We start from the raw sequence: 20,340 nt of genomic DNA, 5'->3' as shown, positions 1-20,340 counted from the left end.
AATAGGAAGAGAGGAAGTCAAATATCCCTGTTTGCGGATGATATGATTCTATGCCTAGAAAACCCCAAACTCCTTGATCTGATAAACAACTTCATCTGATAAAAAAGCTATATTTTTTCAGGATACAAAATCAATGTACAAAAATCACTAGCATTCTTATACACCAGCAACACCCAAGCTGAGAACCAAATCAAGAATGCAGTTCCATTCACATTAGCCACAAAAAGAATAAAATACCTAGGAATACACCTAACCAGAGAGGTGCAAGATTTCTACAATGGGATAAAAAACATTGCTCAATGAAATCAGAGATGACACAAATAAATCAAAAAACACTTCATCCTCATGGATAGGAAGAATCAATATTGTTAAAATGTCCATACTCCCCTAAAAAATTTACAAATTCAATACTATTCCTATCAAACCACTAATGACATTCTTCACAGAATTAGAAAAAACTGTTTTACAATTCATATAGAACCAAAAAAGAGATTGAATATCCAAGACAATCGTAAGCAAAAAGAACAAGCTGGAAGCATCACATTGCCTGACTTCAAACTATATTATAAGCCTACTGTAAGCAAAACAGCATGGTACTGGTACAAAACAGACACATAGATTAATGGAACAGAATAGAGAACCCAGAAATAAGGCTGCGTACCTTCAACTGTGTGATCTTCAGCAAAGTCAACACAAAAAAGCAATGGGGAAATGACTCCCTATTCAATGAATGGTGCTGGGATAACTGGCTAGCCATATACAAAAGATTGAAACTGGACCCTTTCCCTATACCATAAGCAAACATAAAGTCAATATGGATTAAAGACTTAAATGTAAAACTGAAAACTGTAGAAATCCTGAAAGTTTACCTGGAAAATACCATTCTGGATATACAAAGTGGCAAAGATTTACAGTCAACAGAGTGAAGAGGCAAACTACAGAATGGGAGAAAATATTTGCAAACCATTTATCTGATAAGGGACTAATATCCTAAATATATAAGGAACTAAAACAATTTTATAGCAAAAACACAAATAACCTGATGTTTAAAAAATGGGCCAAGGACTTGAATAGACACTTTTCCAAAGAAGATATACAAATAACAGGTATATGAAACATTCTCGACATCACTAATCATCAGGGAAAGGCAAATCAAAACTAAAATGAAATATCACCTTACACTTGTTAGAATGGCTTTTGCTAACACACACACACACACACACACACACACACACACACACACACAAAGGGATAACAAGTGTAGGCCAGGATGTGGAAGAAAGAGAGCGTCTATACTCTGTTGGTGGGAATGTCATTATGGCAAACAGTATGGAAGTATCTCAAAAAATTAAAAATAGCACTACCGTATCATTCAGCAATTTCCACTTCTGGGTTTATATCCAAAGGAAATGAAATCAGTATGTTTAAGAGATATCTACACTCCTATGTTCATTGCAGCACTATTCACAAGAGCCAAAATATGGAATCAAGCTATGTATTTATCTGTGGATGAATGGGATTGACCTAAGTGTTCATCTATGGATGGAAGAAACTGTGGTATGTATATATACAGTGGAATACTATGCAGCCTTAAAAAAGAAAATCCTGTCATTTGCAATAACATGGAAGGTCCTGGAGGACAAGTACTGCATTATCTCCCTTATACATGAAATCTGAAAAAGCAATCAAACTCCTAGAATCAGATAATAGAATGGTGGTTACCAGGGGCTGGGTGGGGAGGGATGTCAGGGAATGGGTAGATGCTGGTTAAAGGGTACAAAGTTTTAGTTTAGGCTGGTCAGAATGGCTCATGACTAAAATCCCAGCACTTTTGGATGCCGAGGGAGGTTCACTTGAGGGCAGGCATTTTATACCAGACTGGGCAACATAGTGAGACCCTGATTCTAAAAAAATATGATCCAGGTGTGGTGGTGCATGCCTGTAGTCCTAGCTACCTGGGGGGCTGATACGGGGGGATCACTTGAGTTCAGGAGTTTGAGGTTACAGTGAGCTACCATTGTGCCACTGTACTTCAGCCTGGGTGGCAGTGAGACCCTGTCTCAAAAATAAAAGTTTTAGACAGGAGGAATAAGTATCTGGAGATATAATATGGTGATTATTATTAATAATAATCTGTAGTATACTTGAAAATTGCTAAGAGAACAAACTTTAAATGTTCTCATCACAAAAATAAGTATATGTATGATATGAATATGTGACTTAGCTTGATTTAATATTTCTACAATGTATACATATATCAAAACTTCACACATATGTATATACGATTTGTCATTTTTCAATTAAAATAAATTTTAAAAACACCATGTTGTATACCTCAAAGATGTATAATTTTATTTGCCAATTATATGGCAATAAAGCTGGAAAAGTCATTTTCTGTCTCTATGTGTCAATCTGTCAGAACATGGAGGAGTTGAGGACAGTAACAAAAATGCCATGTATAAAAAGTAACATAAAAAATTAGGAAACAGGAAAAAACGGCATAAATAGTATTTTAGTGCTAGCAATAAATCTAAGAAAAAAATGTATGATTTGGGCCAAATTCAACTTGCGAGAGAACTTGACTAAGAAAGAACGATTAAAGCAAAAGGAGAGGTGAATATGTATAAGTAAACACCAGTGTAAGATAACATCTCACATATTAGTTTCTCCCTTTAACTTTCTTCTGAATTGTCCTTCCCCCACCCTTTCACTTGAATACATTGACTTTTCTCTGTGTGTTTTTCCTAAATTGGTGGGTGATTTTTCACTTAAGATTTTATTTTTTACTGATGTAAAAACATGTTTCCAGGATCTTTGTATTAGGTCATATCTGAATTTCATTTTGAGGTTTTAGTCTTTGACTCTCTACATTAAAAAGACTAGATTTGCGTTGAAATGGTGCTTTTGTTGCTTTAGTAATGTTTGTACTCTAGTATAGTATGCTTACTATGTGCCAAACACTGTAATACATATTAGGGATCCAAAATAATAATTAAACACTTGAACATGGTAAAAACTTGAACAGCAGACTTCTTTTTCCTGCATGTAAGATAAAATAAATGTAGTGGCAAAAATTTGCAAGGCAAGTTGTTCTTTCTCTTTCTCATAAGACAAATAGTCTTTATGAGATACTTTAAATTTACCATTTAAAATATGGGGGAGGGTGGCTACAGGTTCCTAATTCTCTTGCTTTTTCTTCTCTGCCTCTCAGTGTATTCTTACTTTTGAGATTATCATCATAGCAGCCCATAGAAGCTTTTCGATATTATCTTGGAAAATGTCCTGTCTACCCTCACTTTCTTTCAGTTTATAAGCAAACATTGATTTTATTAATTTATTTATTTACTAAAACACTGAGAGCAGAAATCCAAAAGAATTTTTAAAAGAAGAGGTTAAAGATAGGGTTTGAGTTAAATAGGTCTCCATTTAAACTGATATAAATAGCTAACTACAGGTATTTTTGGCTAGCCCTGATTCAGTGTTTGATATGGTTTGTCATAGTGTATTTATGTTTTGTTGTTGTTCTTGTCGTTTCTCTCTTAAACCTGTTGGCCACTCGTTTCACTTTCAGCCTTACCTTGCTTACCAGCAGGTCTGTAGCGGGTTTTCCCACCCCACCAAGTAACTTGAGCTTTCCCACCTCCCACCTGGGCTCTGCATCCTCAGTTGCCATGTATGTAGAGCCATGGCTGCTGTTTGATTCCTTCCTTTTCATCCAGCTGTACCAAAGTTTCCCTTTTACATTTTAAGATCCGTAAAATGTCCACATTGGCTATGTTTATCTGCATATGCATATGAAGAGCTTTTTGTGAAGACATTTTTTTTTTTTTGAGATGGAGTCTCACTCTGTTGCCCAGGCTGGAGTGCAGGGGTGCGATCTTGGCTCACTGCAACCTCCACCTCCTGGGTTCAAGCGATTCTCCTGCCTCAGCCTCCTGAGTAGCTGGGCTTACAGGCGTGCGCTACCATGCCCGGCTAATTTTTGTATTTTTAGTACAGACAGGGTTTCATCATGTTGGTCAGGCTGGTCTCAAACTCTTGACCTTGTGATCCGCCTGCCTCGGCCTCCCAAAGTGCTGGGATTATAGATGTGAGCCATCGTGCCCAGCCGAAGACAAATTTTCATTTCACCCTTGTTATTGATGCTGCCATCTCATTTACTCAAATGATCCACATTTAGGAAAGAGGTAGGCATGGTGCGGGGAGTGGGGAGGGGTGGCAGTTTCCTTCCAAACTCAGTAAATAGTTATACAAATTATTCCCAGCAGTGGAAGAGAAGACCATTTCATCATAACCATTATGTGTTCAGGGAATATAGACACATTGTTTATTGTATTCTCTTGAATCTTGTAAGATTTCTTTTCTTTGATTAAAATATAATTTAAAAAATCTGAAGTATTCCATTTTTTATTTTCTTTTAAGTTATGAATTTATTTTAAAAGAATTCACCTGCCGGTAGACTCAAGAAATTCATTTTGAACAGAAAATAGGTATTTGAGTATAGTATTGAAATCATTCTATGGTAGACCAAGTTTCTATCTTGAAATATCTAAATCTAATTTTATATTAAAAATGGATTTGTGATCACTGTTTCATTGTTTGTATGTCTCTTTGAAGTAAACTTTACTCGTCTTCCAATAAATTTTCCATGTTCTTGTCATGGCAGGCTCATGACTTGCAGAGTGAACTTGATAAAGGAAAAGAAGATACTCAAAAGAAAATTCATAAATTTGAGGAAGCTTTGAAGTGAGTAAAATTGTAATGCATTTGATTTAAAACTACCCTTTATTAAACTGTGAGCCAAATTAAGTAACTGGGACCTAAACACTATATTTTTATAAGAGCTTTGCTATGGATTCGTTTGCATCAGTTTCCCATCACAAATCTCTATCTTCAAGATTTTATTACTAGCCAGTAATTTTTTTTAAAAGAAAAATCAGTTCAGCTGTTTTTAAGTGATAGGAATGTAAAAAAATAGAACTTAGTGGTTTCAGATGCTCTCTCCCTCTTAAGCGAAAACATATTTTTTAAAAAATGAGATTTAGGTCTTAGGACATTTAGAAATTCCTCCGTAGATTTTGTTGAGCAGTTTGGGAAATGAAATGTTCCAGTTGTTATATTTGAAAATGGATTACTATACAGGCATTATTTAGGAAAGAGTTTGTCTTATGATATACTCAGTATTTTAATGTTTTACTGTACTTAGGCATACATTAAAATATTAGATTTTATTTGTCTTCTCCATTCATTTACTAAATTGATTGGGCTCTCCTATTACTAGGTTTGACCTTGCAGTTTTTAGCTGAAAAAACATTGATTCATTTAGATAACTTAAAACATAAATTATTGTGAGGTCTGAACTCAATAAATATTGAGTTCCCATCATGTGTCAGCCAATGTTCAGTACATTCCCATAGAACCATATAGTCTAGTTGGAGAAATATTCAAGACATTTGGCAATTTGGTACAGAATGATAAGAGTTTAATTGGAGGAAGGTCAATACGGTGACTGACCCAAGAAAGTGATTTAAGAGGAGAAGCTTTCTTGAGCTCAATATACCTAGCTAACTCCCAGAGAATCAGTAATTTTATTTTACTTGCTTCCCTAAACCTGCAAATAAGAATGACTTAAAGAAAGGCCAAAAAGAATACCCAAGATCAAACACATTTAGTATCGAATTCTGCCTGGGAAGATTGCATAACCATTCCTTCTGTCTCACTTTGCTTGTTAATAAAATATATTGGCTCAGTTCCTGAATAGAACGTTTTAATGCGATTTATAAACTATGGCATCACAAGACATCCATATTTTTATCTACAGAGGGACTTATTTGTTTACCTTGTCAATATGAATTAGATGAAATCAGGAGAGAACAATAATATTCATTAGATATTAAGTCAAATAAATATTGAACAAAACTAGGGCAGTCTTGCTTTCTTTTTTTGAGATGGGGTCTCACTCTGTCACCCAGGCTGGAGTGCAGTGGTGCGATCTCGGCTCACTGCACCCTCCGCCTCTTGGGTTCAAGTGATTCTCCTGCCTCAGCCTCCTGAGTAGTTGGGATTACAGGCACACGCCACCACGCCCAGCTAATCTTTGGATTTATTTATTTTTTTTAGTAGAGACTGGGTTTCACTATGTTGGTCAGGCTGGTCTCGAACTCCTGACCTCGTGATCCGCCCGCCTCGGCCTCCCAAAGTGCTGGTATTACAGGTGTGAGCCACCACACCTGGCCCAGTCTTGCTTTTTTTAATGAATAGGATGCTCTCTATTCTTCATTAGTTCATTTTTTCTCTTTAAAATAATTAACTACTTTCTTCATGAAGATTTCTCCATGAACTTTATGAAATTTACCATATTTTTTCTCTCTTGTTCCACTTTGCCTTTGTTCTTTTTAAATTTCTTTATCCTTTCTTCATTTCTTCATTGGTTTATTGATTTATAAATCTAAGGAAGGGGTAATTTCTTTCAATCAGTGGTCCTCAAACTTTTTGGCACCAGGGACCGGTTTCATGGAAGACAGTTTTTCCATGGATAGGGGGTGGGTGGGGAATGGTTTTGGGATGAAACTGTTCCACCTCAGATCATCAGGCATTAGATTCTCATAAGGAGTGTGCAAGCTAAATCTCTTGCTGGCACAGTTCACAATAGGGTTCACGCTCCTGTGAGAATCTAATCTGACAGAAGGTGGAGCTCAGGTGGCAATGCTGGCTTGCCCGGGGCTCACCTCTTGCTGTGGCCTGGTTCCTAACAGGCCATGGACCTGTATGGTGCCCAGGGGTTTGGGACCTTTGCTTTAAATAGCAGTAAGACAACAAATATTTGTTTAGTACCTACAATGTTTACACATTGTAATATCATACTAAAGGAAATAAAAGGTTTAGAAGACAGCTCAAGATGTAATGATGTTCTTAATGATTTTCCAGTCCAGGTTAGGCATTTGAAGTACTTAGAATAACTAGGTATTAACTTGTTGACCATAACAGCAATTAAAGTTCAGACTGATCGTTTCAGTGTGATATTAGGAGTTTATGTATATAACAATATAGTATCTTTTAGTGGTGCTGGTAGATAGTCAAAGAGCCCTGAAGTTTCTGCAGTTTTCTATATATAACATAATCATTTTCTGAGCCAAGTAACCCTCTTTAGGTACTTCAAAAGTCTTTGCCAAAATACTGAATTTTGCTTGGAGTTAAAAGAAGATATTTTAGCATGTTAAATAAAATTCTTCTGTAGATTATTTATCCATCTTCCATATAGTTAATACCTTCATTTTGGCTAAATGTCTGGATGATCTTAACAGTACAGTACCCAGCATAGTAGTAATAATGTAGTCTGAAAGTAAAAGAGTAAATTATTGTGAGGTCTAACTTCAAAGTAAACAGCACAAGTTGGCTGTTTTCCCAAAGGAGAATATTGTGACTGCTGCTGCTTTTGAATCTAAGAATAGCGTTAGATCTGGTTGGCCCAGAGACAGTTCCATTTTGCTGCAAGACAGCTTTGTGATGTAGAAATTTGCCTTGACTATTAACAAAATTTTTTCTTTAAAAATATGCAAAGAAGGAAAATCTCAGTTTTAGAATGTAGTGTTATTTATCCATGTAGTTATTATTTCTTTCATTCATTGAATAAGGGTTTATTTCTTCTGTGCATGTTGAATATATAGTAGAGAGGCTATCAGAGAAAACTGGGATATATAAATATGAATTTATATACATATAAAAACATGATACATGCTGTATAAAGCAAAATACTTTAAAAACATAATAAGGTAATAATCAGTAAGATGGACTGGTAATGGGAGGCATCTTAGAGAAGGAAAAGTCTTTAACTGAGTTGTGAAGGAAAAGTGGAGAATAAATTATCCTGGGATTTTGGTCCCATCTTCTCCTGTCTCTGTAGAGATGCTGGTCTCTACTAGTTTTGTCTCTTTCTTTTCTATTTCCAAGCTGTCTTTCTTCACCTTGTTACATGACCAGATATACTCCTTCCATAGAATACCTTTCCTTTTCTCCTAATGACTTCTAAGTGTCAAGTTCTTTGATTCTCTCAGATTATAGAATTTTGCGACCATGTAGGGATAGTCTTGTGAATTGGGATGATATATAATGTGTTTGAGATGTTAATGGAAAAGTTGAGTGGCTTTATTCTGACACAGTAATTGTATCAAAGACAAAGGCTGGGAATTTTTCTATGAGAGGATGATGTGCTTGATATTTATACTCTCTCCAAGCAATTGAAACTGTCAACTCATCTTTGGTTTAGAGCTCAAGTTGATATTTCAGAACCTATCATTATTTAAGAAGGAGGATTGTAGTTAGCATGTTTCACTTTAAATGCTAACTCCTTAAAGCTAATTTGCCTGTTGCTATTGTTTCTAAAAATGAAACTAGTTTAATGTTGTTGCCTTACTATTCTTTTCAATTTTTGTTCTACATATGTATTAAATACTTTTGCTTCCTATTTCGTTTTTTACTGTAGAAAATAATTTTAATAGCCTCCAGAAATGGAAAGTTATCTGAAACTTTAATGGTGTGAGTTGTACATGTTCATTTTTCATTTTTCAAAGATAAGTAATTAAAGCATATGGGGAACTAAATAGACTGTAATGAAAGGAAAATGATGGTATAAAACCAAATAGTATTTTCGGAGGAGTTAAAATTCATAAACAACAAATGTGGATAGTATAAGTTTGGTTTATTCCTTTTTCAATATTCTTGTGTTATCAAATTTAATTTTTTAAGTTTTTGGTGCTGTAAACATAATGAAGAATTATTTTGAGACAGTGTATAGTCTATTTTAAAGTATTCAATTAAAACTTCCAAAACCATCTGTTTGATTAATTTTTCAAACTCTGTTTTTACAATAAATACAAAAATGCCTTAACATATTTATTCTGATATTTTAAACTCTTTTTGCATTGTCATAAACATTCTAAATATTTTTAACCCTGACACTAATGTGGACAAGCTTTCTATTTTTCAGTTAGTATTAAGTATATGTACAGTAGTAGTTCACTAGAATATGAAAAGAAACACAACCTACAGAATGGGAGAAAATATTTGCAAGCTATGCATCTGACAAAGGTCTAATATCGAACATCTATAAGGAACTTAAATTTACAATTAAGAAAACCCATTAAAAAGTGGGCAAAGGACATGAATAGACTTTTCAAAAGAAGACATACATGTGGTCAACCATCATATGAAAAAAAGCTCACGCAGACCACACTGGTTTGCTGCCACCGCTGCTGCCATTGTGCCAGCCCCTCAGGTCTCCCTGAGGCCGGGTGACGCTCCAGAGTGGGAGACAAGCCCATTTGGGAGCAGATTGGATCCAGCTTCATTCAACGTTGCTACCAGTTATTTGATAATGATAGAACCCAACTAGGCGCAATTTACATTGACGTGTCATGCCTTATGTGGGAAGGACAACAGTTCCATGGAAAGCTGCCATTGTAGAGAAGTTGTCTAGCCTTCCGTTTCAGAAAATCCAGCACAGCATCACAGCGCAGGACGATCAGCCCATGCCAGATAGCTGCATCATCAGCATGGTTGTGGACCAGCTTAAGACATGAAGACCCCATCATGGGGTTCCACCAGATGTTCCTATTAAAGAACATCAACGATGCTTGGGTTTGCACCAATGACATGTTCAGGCTTGCCCTGCACAACTTCAGCTGACCTCCTCTCAGCCAGACATGCTGTTTCCTCCTCCCTCCTCTTCCCAATACTATTCCTGCTCCTCCAGATGCTCCAAATATCATGCACAAATGAGCAGCACCACGGTGAGAGTGGGCGCAGTGCTCTGCTGCCACCGAAGTGTTATGCATGATGTTTGGACGCTAGACTAGTTCCATCTACGGGAGAAGTTTGTGTTGTACCAGTGCATGCCTTGGAAAGACTTAAGTAATGCAAAAGGTTATCCTTTTTTTTTTTTTTTAATCTACTGACAAGTTGCTCTAGTAATCCAAAGAAGTGAAGGAGAAAGCAGCTGCCTCACCCCGCCCAGACATTGATTTGTTCAGATGTTTCAATGCCTCATGATACAATAAAACCACAAACACTTTCTTAACAGTTTAAAAAAAAAAGCAAAAAAGCAAAAAAGCTCAACATCACCGATCATTAGAGAAATGCAAATCAAAACCACAATGAGATACCATCTTACAGTCAAAATGGTTATTACTAAAAAGACAAAAAAAAAACAGATGCCAGTGAGGTTGCAGAGAAAAAGGAACACTTATACACTGTTGGGAGTGTAAATTAGTTGAGCCATTGGAAGACAGTGTGGCAATTCCTCAAAGACCTAAAAGCAGAAGTACCATTCGACCCAGCAATCCTATTACTGAGTATATACCCAAAGGAATAGAAAATCGTGTTCTATTATAAAGACACATGCACATGTAAGTTTATTGCAGCAATATTAACAATAGCAAAGACATGGAATCAACCTAAATGCCTATTAGTGATAGATTATATGAAGAAAATGTGATATATATACACCATGGAATACTATGCAGCCATAAAAAATAATGAGATCATGTCCTTTGCAGGAACATGACTAGAGCTGGAGGCCATTCTCCTTAGCAAACTAATGCGGGAACAGAAAACCAAATACCGCATGTTGTCACTCATAAGTGGGAGCTAAATGATAAGAACACATGGACACATAGAAGGGAACAACACACACTGGGTCCTATGGCAGGATGGAGGATGGAAGGAAGGAGAGGATCGGGAAAAATAACTAACGGGTACTAGGCTTAATACCTGGGTGATGAAATAATCTGTACAACAAACCCCATGACACAAGTTCACCTATATAACAAATCTACACATGTACCCCAGACTTAAAAGTTAAGTAAAAAAAAAAAATGCTTTCAGGATTATATCACTCAAATAATGAGTAAATATAGGAAAAATAATTTAGTAATTTCTGGCCGGGCGTGGTGGCTCACGCTTGTAATCCCAGCACTTTGGGAGGCCGAGGTGGGCAAATCACGAGGTCAGGAGATCGAGACCATCCTGGCTAACACGGTGAAACCCCGTATCCACTAAAAATACAAAAAATTAGCCGTGTGCTGTGGCAGGCGCCTATAGTCCCAGCTACTCAGGAGGCTGAGGCAGGAGAATGGCGTGAACCCAGGACACAGAGCTTGCAGTGAGCCGAATAGTGCCACTGCACTCCAGCCCAGGCTGGAGTGAAAGAGCGAGACTCCGTCTCAAAAAAAAAAAAAAAAAGAATTTAGTAATTTCTATTGGAGTTCATTTCAGCAAGTAAATATTTCTTGCATTTATAAAACACTGATACAGTGAAAGTATTATAAGAAATGATGAATAAAATATTTGTCTTTACTTCTAGAACAGACTTAAAATGACTTGTAAACATATTAACATGTAATTAAAATATAACAAACGTGGAGAATGGTAGATATTATTATACTAGATATAAAAGTATTTCTGTATTTAAATTCTAAATTTGCTTTGACTTGAACTCTTTTAGGTGGTTTTGGGAACAGTTTGAATTTAGTGTGGGTTAAGAGCATGGACTCTGGACCCGGTTGTCATCCGTCCAACTTCTAGCTTAAATTACTGTGTGACCTTAGGCATGATGCTTAATTTCCATGTGATTCAGGCTTTACATCTATAACATGAGGATGATTAATAAGATAATAAGATGTTCCCTCTAAGATTATTGAGAGGCTTAGAAGAGTTAATATAAAGCATTTAGAATAGTGTCTGTTATATATGTATTATTAATATTATTATTATAACGACTATATTATATACGTGTATTAGCTCTGTTTACTTAGTTTCTCATTGCCTTATAAAATCATATGAACAGGTTTTCCAGAAGAAGTAATCTTTTCCTGACATCAGTTTTTTTTCTTTTTAAAGAAAATAGCTTTATTGAGGTACAATTCTCACACCATAAAAATAACTTGTTTTAAGTGCACAATATATGATTTTTAGTAAATTCACAGAGTTCTGTGTTTTGTAACCATCACCACAGTTCAATTTTAGAACATTTCCTTTTTTTTTTTTTTTTTTTTTTTGAGACGAGGCCTTACTCTGTCACCTAGGCTGGACAGCAGTGGGCTGATCTCGGCTCACTGCTACCTTGACCTCCCAAGCTCAAGCGATCCTCCCACCCCAGTTTCCTGAGGAGCTGGGACCACAGGCATGTGCCACCATGCTCAGCTAATTTTTTTGGATTTTTGGTAGAGACAGGGTTTCACCATTTTGCCCAGGCTGGTCTCAAACTCCTGAGCTCAAGTGATCCATCCACCTCAGGCCTCTCAAAATACTGGGATTACAGGTGTGAGCCACCACCCCAAGCACAATTTTAGAACATTTCTATCACCCCAAAAAGATCTCTCATGGCACCAAATTTTAAAATAAAATAATGATTGTTTTTTTCTGACAAGATCTTCAATAGTCATTTTGCAGAAAATGCAGACTATTTCTTATTTTGACTTTCAATAAAAGCTGAAAGTTATTATATTAAGATGTGCTTTGGCATATTGTAGAGACCTAAGCTAAGGTAGCCTCAATATGTTGCTTCCTGGTTACTTTGCTTTCCAATATTTTAACTTTGATACAAGAGTGAATTTAGAAAAAAGATTGTGTGTGTGTGTGGGGGGGGGGATGTTTAGGGTGTGTGTATAAATGCATTGAAAGGGATCTAGACATTATATTTATATAAAAACATACATATATATGTATGTTTTATAGCTTATGACAATAATAAAGACAAACCAATAAAGTTTTAGAAGGAAAAATTATAATAAAACATTAATAGTAGTTAAATATTGTATGTTCACCCTAGTTGGGAAGCATATGAGGTTTTAAAAATTGTATTTATGTTTTACATATATTTTTAATTAAACGTGTCTGAGGATTCCTCAAGGTCCTGAGATGCTTTCAGTTTGTCCCAAATCACTTAAGCCAGTAAGGAGTGGAGCAGAGTGTAAACCAGGTTTCTGGAAATAGCTAAAACTCTATTTTGAGTTTTTGACTGAACAGCCTTCTGTGTATTTCATATAATAAATGGAGAGTTGTCAGGGATGACACACTTTGTTTTTAAACAGGTGAGAGTTTTTCTCGCCTAGAATGAAAGGACACCCTACCACAGCCTGTTAAGAGATGCTGTTAGGAGGCTTATGGATTATAGAATAGGAAAGAGAGCTTTCTAATAAGTGTACAATTAGGATTATTATTATTATTTTAGATGGAGTCTCACTCTGTTGCCCAGGCTGGAGTGCAGTGGCGTAATCTCGGCTCACTGCAACCTTCGCCTCCTGGGTTCAAGCAATTCTTCTGCCTCAGTCTCCCGAGTAGCTGGGACTACAGGTGCACACCACCACGCCTGCCTAATTTATTTTGTATTTTAGTAGAGACGAGGTTTCACTGTGTTGCCCAGACTGGTCGTGAACTCCTGAGCTCAGGCAAGCCACCCATTTCAGCCTCCCAAAGTGCTGGGATTACAGCCGTGGGCCACCGTGCCCATCCAGGATTTTTTAATGAAAAGAAAAAGTATTCTCCATGTAAGAGGCTTCAGGCTTTCTTCTTGTGTGAATTCATGTGTAAATACATAGATTCATCTTCTACTTTTAATTTATCAATCTTACTTTGTAAACTTGAATCTGATTTTAGCATACTTATTTTGATTCCTAAATATCCTAACATTTCAGGGTAAGTAAATATCATGAATGAACTATACTTTAGGGAGATTATCCTGGCAGGAATGAAAATATAAATTTAAGTAATGAGAAAGTGGAAGCAGGAAAATAAGGAAGATGAAGCTATCATAATAGTCCATGTAAGAGACAGTGGACTCTGGGACAGTGGTGAGCCCGTGATGGAGAGGTTGGCTGCAGCCACAGCGGATCAGATGTGCCAGGACAAGGAGCTTCTCTGGAACTCTCCAGTCTCATCTGAGTACCTTTTCTTCCACAGTTAATAAACTTCGACAAATAATTTCTAAGAGATAGCTGATGAAAAGCTGCATAGTTTTATATTTTTGTTTCATATAGATATAACATAGATTGAGTAAATGGAAATCTGAAGTATAAATATTGATTTTAAAAATATTTTCTTTTAGATTCAGGGGGTGCATGTGCAGGTTTATTACATGGATATACTGCATAATGGGGGGGTTTTTGGGCTTTAGTGAAATACTGAATTTTTAAATACTGTTTCATGATTTATAAAGATACAAATATAATGATTTTAAAAACTTTGAAACACTGGAATTTAACTTATTGTACTACACACACACACACACACACACACACACACACACACACGTATATTTTTCCCCATGGTGTAGGATTTGAGTCAAAACACGCCATGATGAAAAAATATTTAGGAATTGTATTAGGCCGTTTTCATGCTGCTGATAAAGACATACCCAAGACTGGGTAATTTATAAAGAAAAAGAGGTTTAATGGACTCACAGTTCCATGTGGCTGGGGAGGCCTCACAATCATGGTGGAAAGCGAAAGGCACTTCTTACATGGCAGCAGGCAAGAGAGAATGAGAGCCAAGTGAAAGGAGTTTTCCCTTGTAAACCATCAGATCTCGTGAGACTTATTCACTGCACGAGAACAGTATGGGGGAATCTGTACCCATGATTCAGTTATCTCCCACTGGGCCCCTCCTACAACACATGGGAATTATGGGAGCTACAATTCAAGATGAGATTTGGGTGAGGATGCAGTCGTTAGGGTAAAAATCAGACATTTTGTAAAAGAGAAATTTCAATAAAACTTGAGAGATAAATTGTTTTTAGATGTTGCTGTTTCTTGTATTGCCTACTAAATGCCCAGAATGCTCCGAGGACTGAATAAGCCCACTGAGGGAAGTGCTGGGTGGGCCCTAGAACAAGAGCACTTGTCCTGGGTGACTTTTTGATGCTCTAACTGGAGACATATCAGGGACCAGAGATGGAGCAGTAGATTTTGAACTATACTTGAACCTCAGCCAAGGGAGCCGCTATCTGGAGAACATCTAGGTGTACCCTCTTCTATTTTCCCACCTATATCAAAGATGTCTATTTGAACAGGATCCAGTTTTGCCTTTTCTTTTTTTGAAATGAGCACTTCTGTATATCATTCTCCTTTGTCCAACATTTTGTGAAGTTTTAATCTTTGAAGATAAATTTACCCACTTCCTTGTCCCCAAGGAAGGAAGAACAAAAACAATCAAAGCCAGGTTAGAATTCCGAGAGGAATGGGGAATAAAACTTGCCTCCCCACCCCCCACCCCACCCCACTCCAAGAACTCTTCAGCCTTTCCATTTTCTTTTAATCCCTAACAACATGGGACTCTGATGATCAGGCTCCTTGCTGAATTCAACTTGAAACCCAAAGGCAAGGGAGCTCTTCGGGTTTGATGGAGATCAAAGGGACTCACCCCTGGGGCACAGAACTGGGTGCAAAAGGGTAATGAGTGTGCCGAAGGGGCACATGAAAGATGTTTAGTTCAGGGGTTGATGGTGGAGCCCTTAGAGGCAGCATTCTCACTTGTGATTAGGCCAATGGCACCAGAGAGAGAAAGAGAACCGAAAGTGGCCCCACAGCAGGCAGGGATACAAATGAACTGCCCCAAATGATCACTTAGTATTGTAATCACTTGACAGGGAGTGTTGAAACTGGAATGTTCTTTTCCTTTCAAGGAAGTGCCATGAGTGTGTTCTTTTTTACATGTTTGGCTCTCCGTGTGTTTCCTATTTTCCCCCACATCCTATTCTCCTAGAACTATTTTTCTGTACGTTGTGGACAAAATTCCTATTAGAAGTTAAATGAGGGCTGTGTGCAATGGCTCATGTCTGAAATCCCAGCACTTTGGAAGTCCAAGGCAGGAAGATTGCTTGAGGCCATGAGTTTGAAACCAGCTTAGGCAATGTAGCAAGACCCCATCTCTAAAAACAACAACAATATTAGCTGGCTGGGTGGCACATGCCTCTATAGTCCTAGCTACTAAGGAGGCTGAGGCAGGAGAATTGCTTGAGCTCAGGAGTTGGAGACTGCAGTGAGCTATGACCACGCCACCATACTCCAGCTTGGGTAAGAGAGCAAGACCCTGTCTCAATAACAACAACAAAAAGAAGCCAAATGATGTTTTGAGGTCCCACAGATTGAGAGGTAAACCACATATGTGGTCAACTCAATGAAAGCCTAACTATGCAAGGGAAAAAGTGCATGGTGACATTTCTAGACTTGCACTAATCCTGTCCTTTGAAATCTTACTGTCATGCCCAGATTAGGATGTTTATTTCATCTCAGATTATGGGTTTTAGAAAACACCCTAGCCACAAGCCGTATTGGCCATGAACTGGAGATGTCTTCTGCTCATATGTATCTGATATTGACATATAACACCCCTTTTCTGACTCCATGCAGTTTTTTTTTTTTTTCCTATGAACCGAAGTTTATTGAGGGGACTTATCCTGCAGTCTCATGGTTTTTATAACTTTCTACTGAAGTATAACATACATACCAAAAAGCACACAAACTGAACACACCCATGTAAGCAGCTCCTAGATCAAGAAACTGAACATTAACAGCATTGCAGAAGCCTCCCTCCCAAGCCCCTAACCGTCACTGCCCCACCTTCAAGAGCAGCCACTATTTTCACTTTTTATCTATTTTTGAACTGCACATAAATAAAATCATACAGAATGCAGTTTTTTGTGCCTGGCCTCTTTTGCTCAATATTTAGGTTTGTGAGATTCATTTATATTGTTGTGTATCATTGTAGTTTTTACATGCTCATTTGTTGAATAGTGTTTCAAGGTGAATATACCACCATATATTTATCCATTCTACTGTCAATATTCATTTGGGCTGCTTCTGGTTTGGGGATATTATTAATAGTGCTGCAATGAACATTCTTATATGTTTCTTTTGGTAACTAAATATACACACTTCTGCTGGGTATATATCTTCATCATGCTTTTATGTTTTGTTAAGAATACACATATTATACCCAAAGGAGTATAAATCATTCTATTACAAAGATACATGCATACATATGTTCATTGCAGCACCATTCACAGTAGCAAAGACATGGAATCAACCCAAATGTTCATCAATGATAGACTGGATAAAGAAAATGTGGTACATATATACCATGGAATACTATGCAGCTATAAAAAGCAGTGAGATCATGTCATTTGCAAGGACATGGATGGAGCTGGAAGCCATTATCCTCAGCAAACTAATGCAGGAACAGAAAACCAAACACCACATGTTCTCACTTATAAGTGGGAACTGAACAATGAGATCACATGGACATAGGGAGAGGAACAACACACACTGGGCCCTGTTAGGGGGTGAGGTGGGGGAGAGAGAGCATTAGGAAAAATAGCTAATGCATGCTGGGCTTAATACCTAGGTGACGGGTTGATGGGTGCAGCAAATCACCATGGCACACATTTACATATGTAACTAACCTGCACATCCTGCACATGTACCCTCGAACTTAAAAGTAAAAATAAAAAACAAAAAAGAATACACATATGTGGGAAGAATTAAGCCTTCCAGTTTACCCAGGAGCTTGAATTTTGAATTTTGGTAGACAGGGAGAGCTAGGTTAAATTGGTCTTGTATGGGATTTTAAAGTATAACGGGATAGTATAAATCTGAATTTAGTTTTAAGATTGCCAAAGTGAGGAATTGTGACTTGATCATTTTGTTTGTAAGGTTGGTGAAAAATATCTCAAGGAATTAATAGTGATATTTAAAATGGAGAAAAAATTGAATTAAGGAGACATCTAGAAATAGCCTAAAAGGATGCCTGCAAACTTGAATAGTAAACATAAAGATTTCTGTACCTAATTCAGTCCCTGGAGTAAGCAGAAATTTTAGACTATTCATTGGCATTATCAAAGAACCAATAGAAGTGAGTGAACCCAGTCAGTTTGAGACCAAAGGGAAGAAGTTATTGGAGTTATTGGAGGCCTTTCTTCACTTTTACTTGTTATTTTTCCAACAAACTGACATATAGCTTCTTGGAAACATATCTTTTCTTGCTTAATATGCATAGTTTTTATAATATTCCATTACAGTGGAAAAACATTATTTACCCCTAAAGTTATATTTTTAAAGAAGTTATATTTTTAAACATGAGTGAAAAAGCTTTCCTATGACACTTTTAAATCTTCTTCATTTATCTTTTGTTGCTTGTTTGTTGTTATAAATCAACATTTATAATATTAGGGGAAATAGGGATTAATCTTCAAATAGGAATACCTTAAAGATACTAAAACTGCAAAGTCATAATGACTGTTTTTGTACTTTTATTTGCTAGACGCTAATCTTAATAAAAGACTTAAATGGAATACTAAACAATCTTGTGATTATTCATAGAAAGAGTGAACTTCATTTTGATTAGGTTTGTTTTTTTTTTTAATGGAACATTGCCTACTGCAAAAATTTGGATGAAGTTGTATTAAAAGCAGACAGCCTTCCAGTTTACCTAGGAGCTTGAATTTTGAATTTTGGTAGACAGGGAAAGCTAGGTTAAATTGGTCTTGTATGGGATTTTAAAGTATAACTGAATAGTATAAATCTGAATTTAGTTTTAAAATTGCCAAAGTGAGGAATTGTGACTTGATCATTTTGTTTGTAAGGTTGGTGAAAAATATCTCAAGAAATTAATAGTAATATTTAAAATGGAAAAAAAATTGAATTAAGGAGACATCTAGAAATAGCCTAAAAGGAAGCCTGCAAACTTGAATAGTAAACACAAAGATTTCTGTACCTAATATGTAAGTGAAAACACCTTTGTAGGGTCTCCTTCATAAGAAATTTTATTCTGTTTAGAAAACAAATTCGAACTTTCAAAAAGTATTCTTGAAAGATTAGTTCTAAATACTATTCTACCAGAATATAAAAGTAACCTATAACTTATGATACTTAATAAAGAAGATATGGTGCTGTTTTTAACTGATGCATATATATTTAAAGATTAATTAAGTTTGTAACTTTTGAATATATTTTTTCTATTGCTACTATTACTAAAATTAGGAACACATGCAATTTATAACGTATCATTCAACCAAAATATGTCAGATTTTCATATATGAGTATAACGTTACCTCTCACAACATAGATACTGTATAGAGTTGGGGAGCAAGAGGGAAATATTTGACATGTATGAAATCAACTTGGATTCCACTTACCTAGAATTCAATGAATTATATCAAAGTTCGATTAAAAGTAACCAGAAATTGCTGAATTATATTATAGTTAAATTATTTAAAAAGTTTATTCTTTGTCGTGGCCACTCAAGTTCTAGGGTAATCCAAAAGAGAATTATTTTGTATACCATTGTAATAGAAGGTTGTGATAAAATGAACCTATCCAGAGTTCTGAAGCCAGGACATCTCAGAGCCTGATGCCCAAGGTGTATTATCTGGGTATTGCTGTTGGTTATTCAGGGACCAGAGGCTCTTTAGTTAGCAGGTGATGAATCCTGCCAGATCTCCGCTGTGACAGGGCAGCACTGAGTTCAATGTGAAGTTCCCCAGTCGCTGCTCTCCTCCTCTCCCAAGCACACAGATTTCTCCATGCCAGATGGCCACTGCCCAGGGCTTGGGAGAGCTGATACAGGCATTCCCTTCAGCCTTTCTGGCTGGTGTCTCAGTAGGTTGTGTGCCCCTCTAGTCCACTGGCTCTGAGCCCAGCTCAGCATTGGGACTTCCCTAGGAATTGCAGTCCTTATGGCCTAGACTGCCCTTCAAGTTCACTTAAGGTCCCAGAGCACTCCAGCTTGTGGTGGCAAGGCTTGCTAGAACTCAAGTTCTGACCTTTGGGATGAGCGGTTCACCTCTGGGCATGGGCCAGTCCAGGTGCCCTCTCTGCAGGCAGATGTCAGCTGACTACAGCCTGGTTCTCTTTTCCACCATGACAGAGCAGCACTAAGTTCAATGCAAAGCCTCACAATCTCTGTGCTCTCCTTCTCCCAAGAGCACAGATGCTATCTGGCTGGTGGATGGGGGAGGAGTGGCATCAGCAATTCAAAACTGTTTTTCCTGCCCTCTTTGATGTATCTTTCAGCCATATGAAATTAAAAGTAGATACTGTGATTGCTCACCTGAGTTTTGGTTCCTGTGATGGTTCTTTTTATACATAGTTGTTAAAATTTGGTGTTTCTGTTGAGGGGAAGAATCACTTAAGCTTCTATTTAGCCATCTTGCTCTGCCCTACACTCTATGCCTTTTTATTGGAGAATTGAGTTCATTAACATTCAATGTTATTATTGATCAGTAAGGACTTAAATATTATTATTTTGTTGTTTGTGTTCTGGTTGTTTGGTAACTTCTCTTTCCCTTTC

At 36.9% G+C, this 20,340-nt stretch overlaps 1 protein-coding gene and 1 pseudogene across 22 annotated transcripts in view, besides 1 other annotated feature; both read left to right on the top strand.

Moving 5' to 3' along the window:
- Positions 1-20,340, top strand: part of CEP112 (centrosomal protein 112) — a 556,597-nt gene that overhangs the window by 181,698 nt on the left and 354,559 nt on the right. For all 22 annotated transcript variants that reach the window (XR_007065281.1, XR_007065280.1, XR_007065282.1 and 19 more), the window contains one exon: positions 4,667-4,746. Coding sequence is in view for 19 of the 22 variants with exons in the window: in NM_001353128.2 (NP_001340057.1) it covers positions 4,667-4,746 (80 nt within the window). In the remaining 3 variants the exon portion in view is untranslated. The remainder of the gene's footprint in view (positions 1-4,666; positions 4,747-20,340) is intronic.
- Positions 8,791-9,990: an enhancer, noted in NCBI's record as "MED14-independent group 3 enhancer chr17:63996564-63997763 (GRCh37/hg19 assembly coordinates)". NCBI's record gives its function as "activates an origin of replication core promoter dependent on BRD2, BRD4, P300/CBP and CDK7 cofactors, and independent of MED14, by STARR-seq in HCT116 cells {active_cell/tissue: HCT116}" and the evidence as "EXISTENCE:reporter gene assay evidence [ECO:0000049][PMID:35650434]".
- LOC107984972 (nuclear transport factor 2-like) lies at positions 9,295-10,064 on the top strand (annotated as a pseudogene).

Source organism: Homo sapiens, chromosome 17 (genome assembly GCF_000001405.40).
Source record: "Homo sapiens chromosome 17, GRCh38.p14 Primary Assembly".
NCBI lineage: Eukaryota > Metazoa > Chordata > Mammalia > Primates > Hominidae > Homo > Homo sapiens.
Note: the sequence above shows the minus strand (reverse complement) of the source record. Positions and strands in the feature narration are given on the sequence as shown.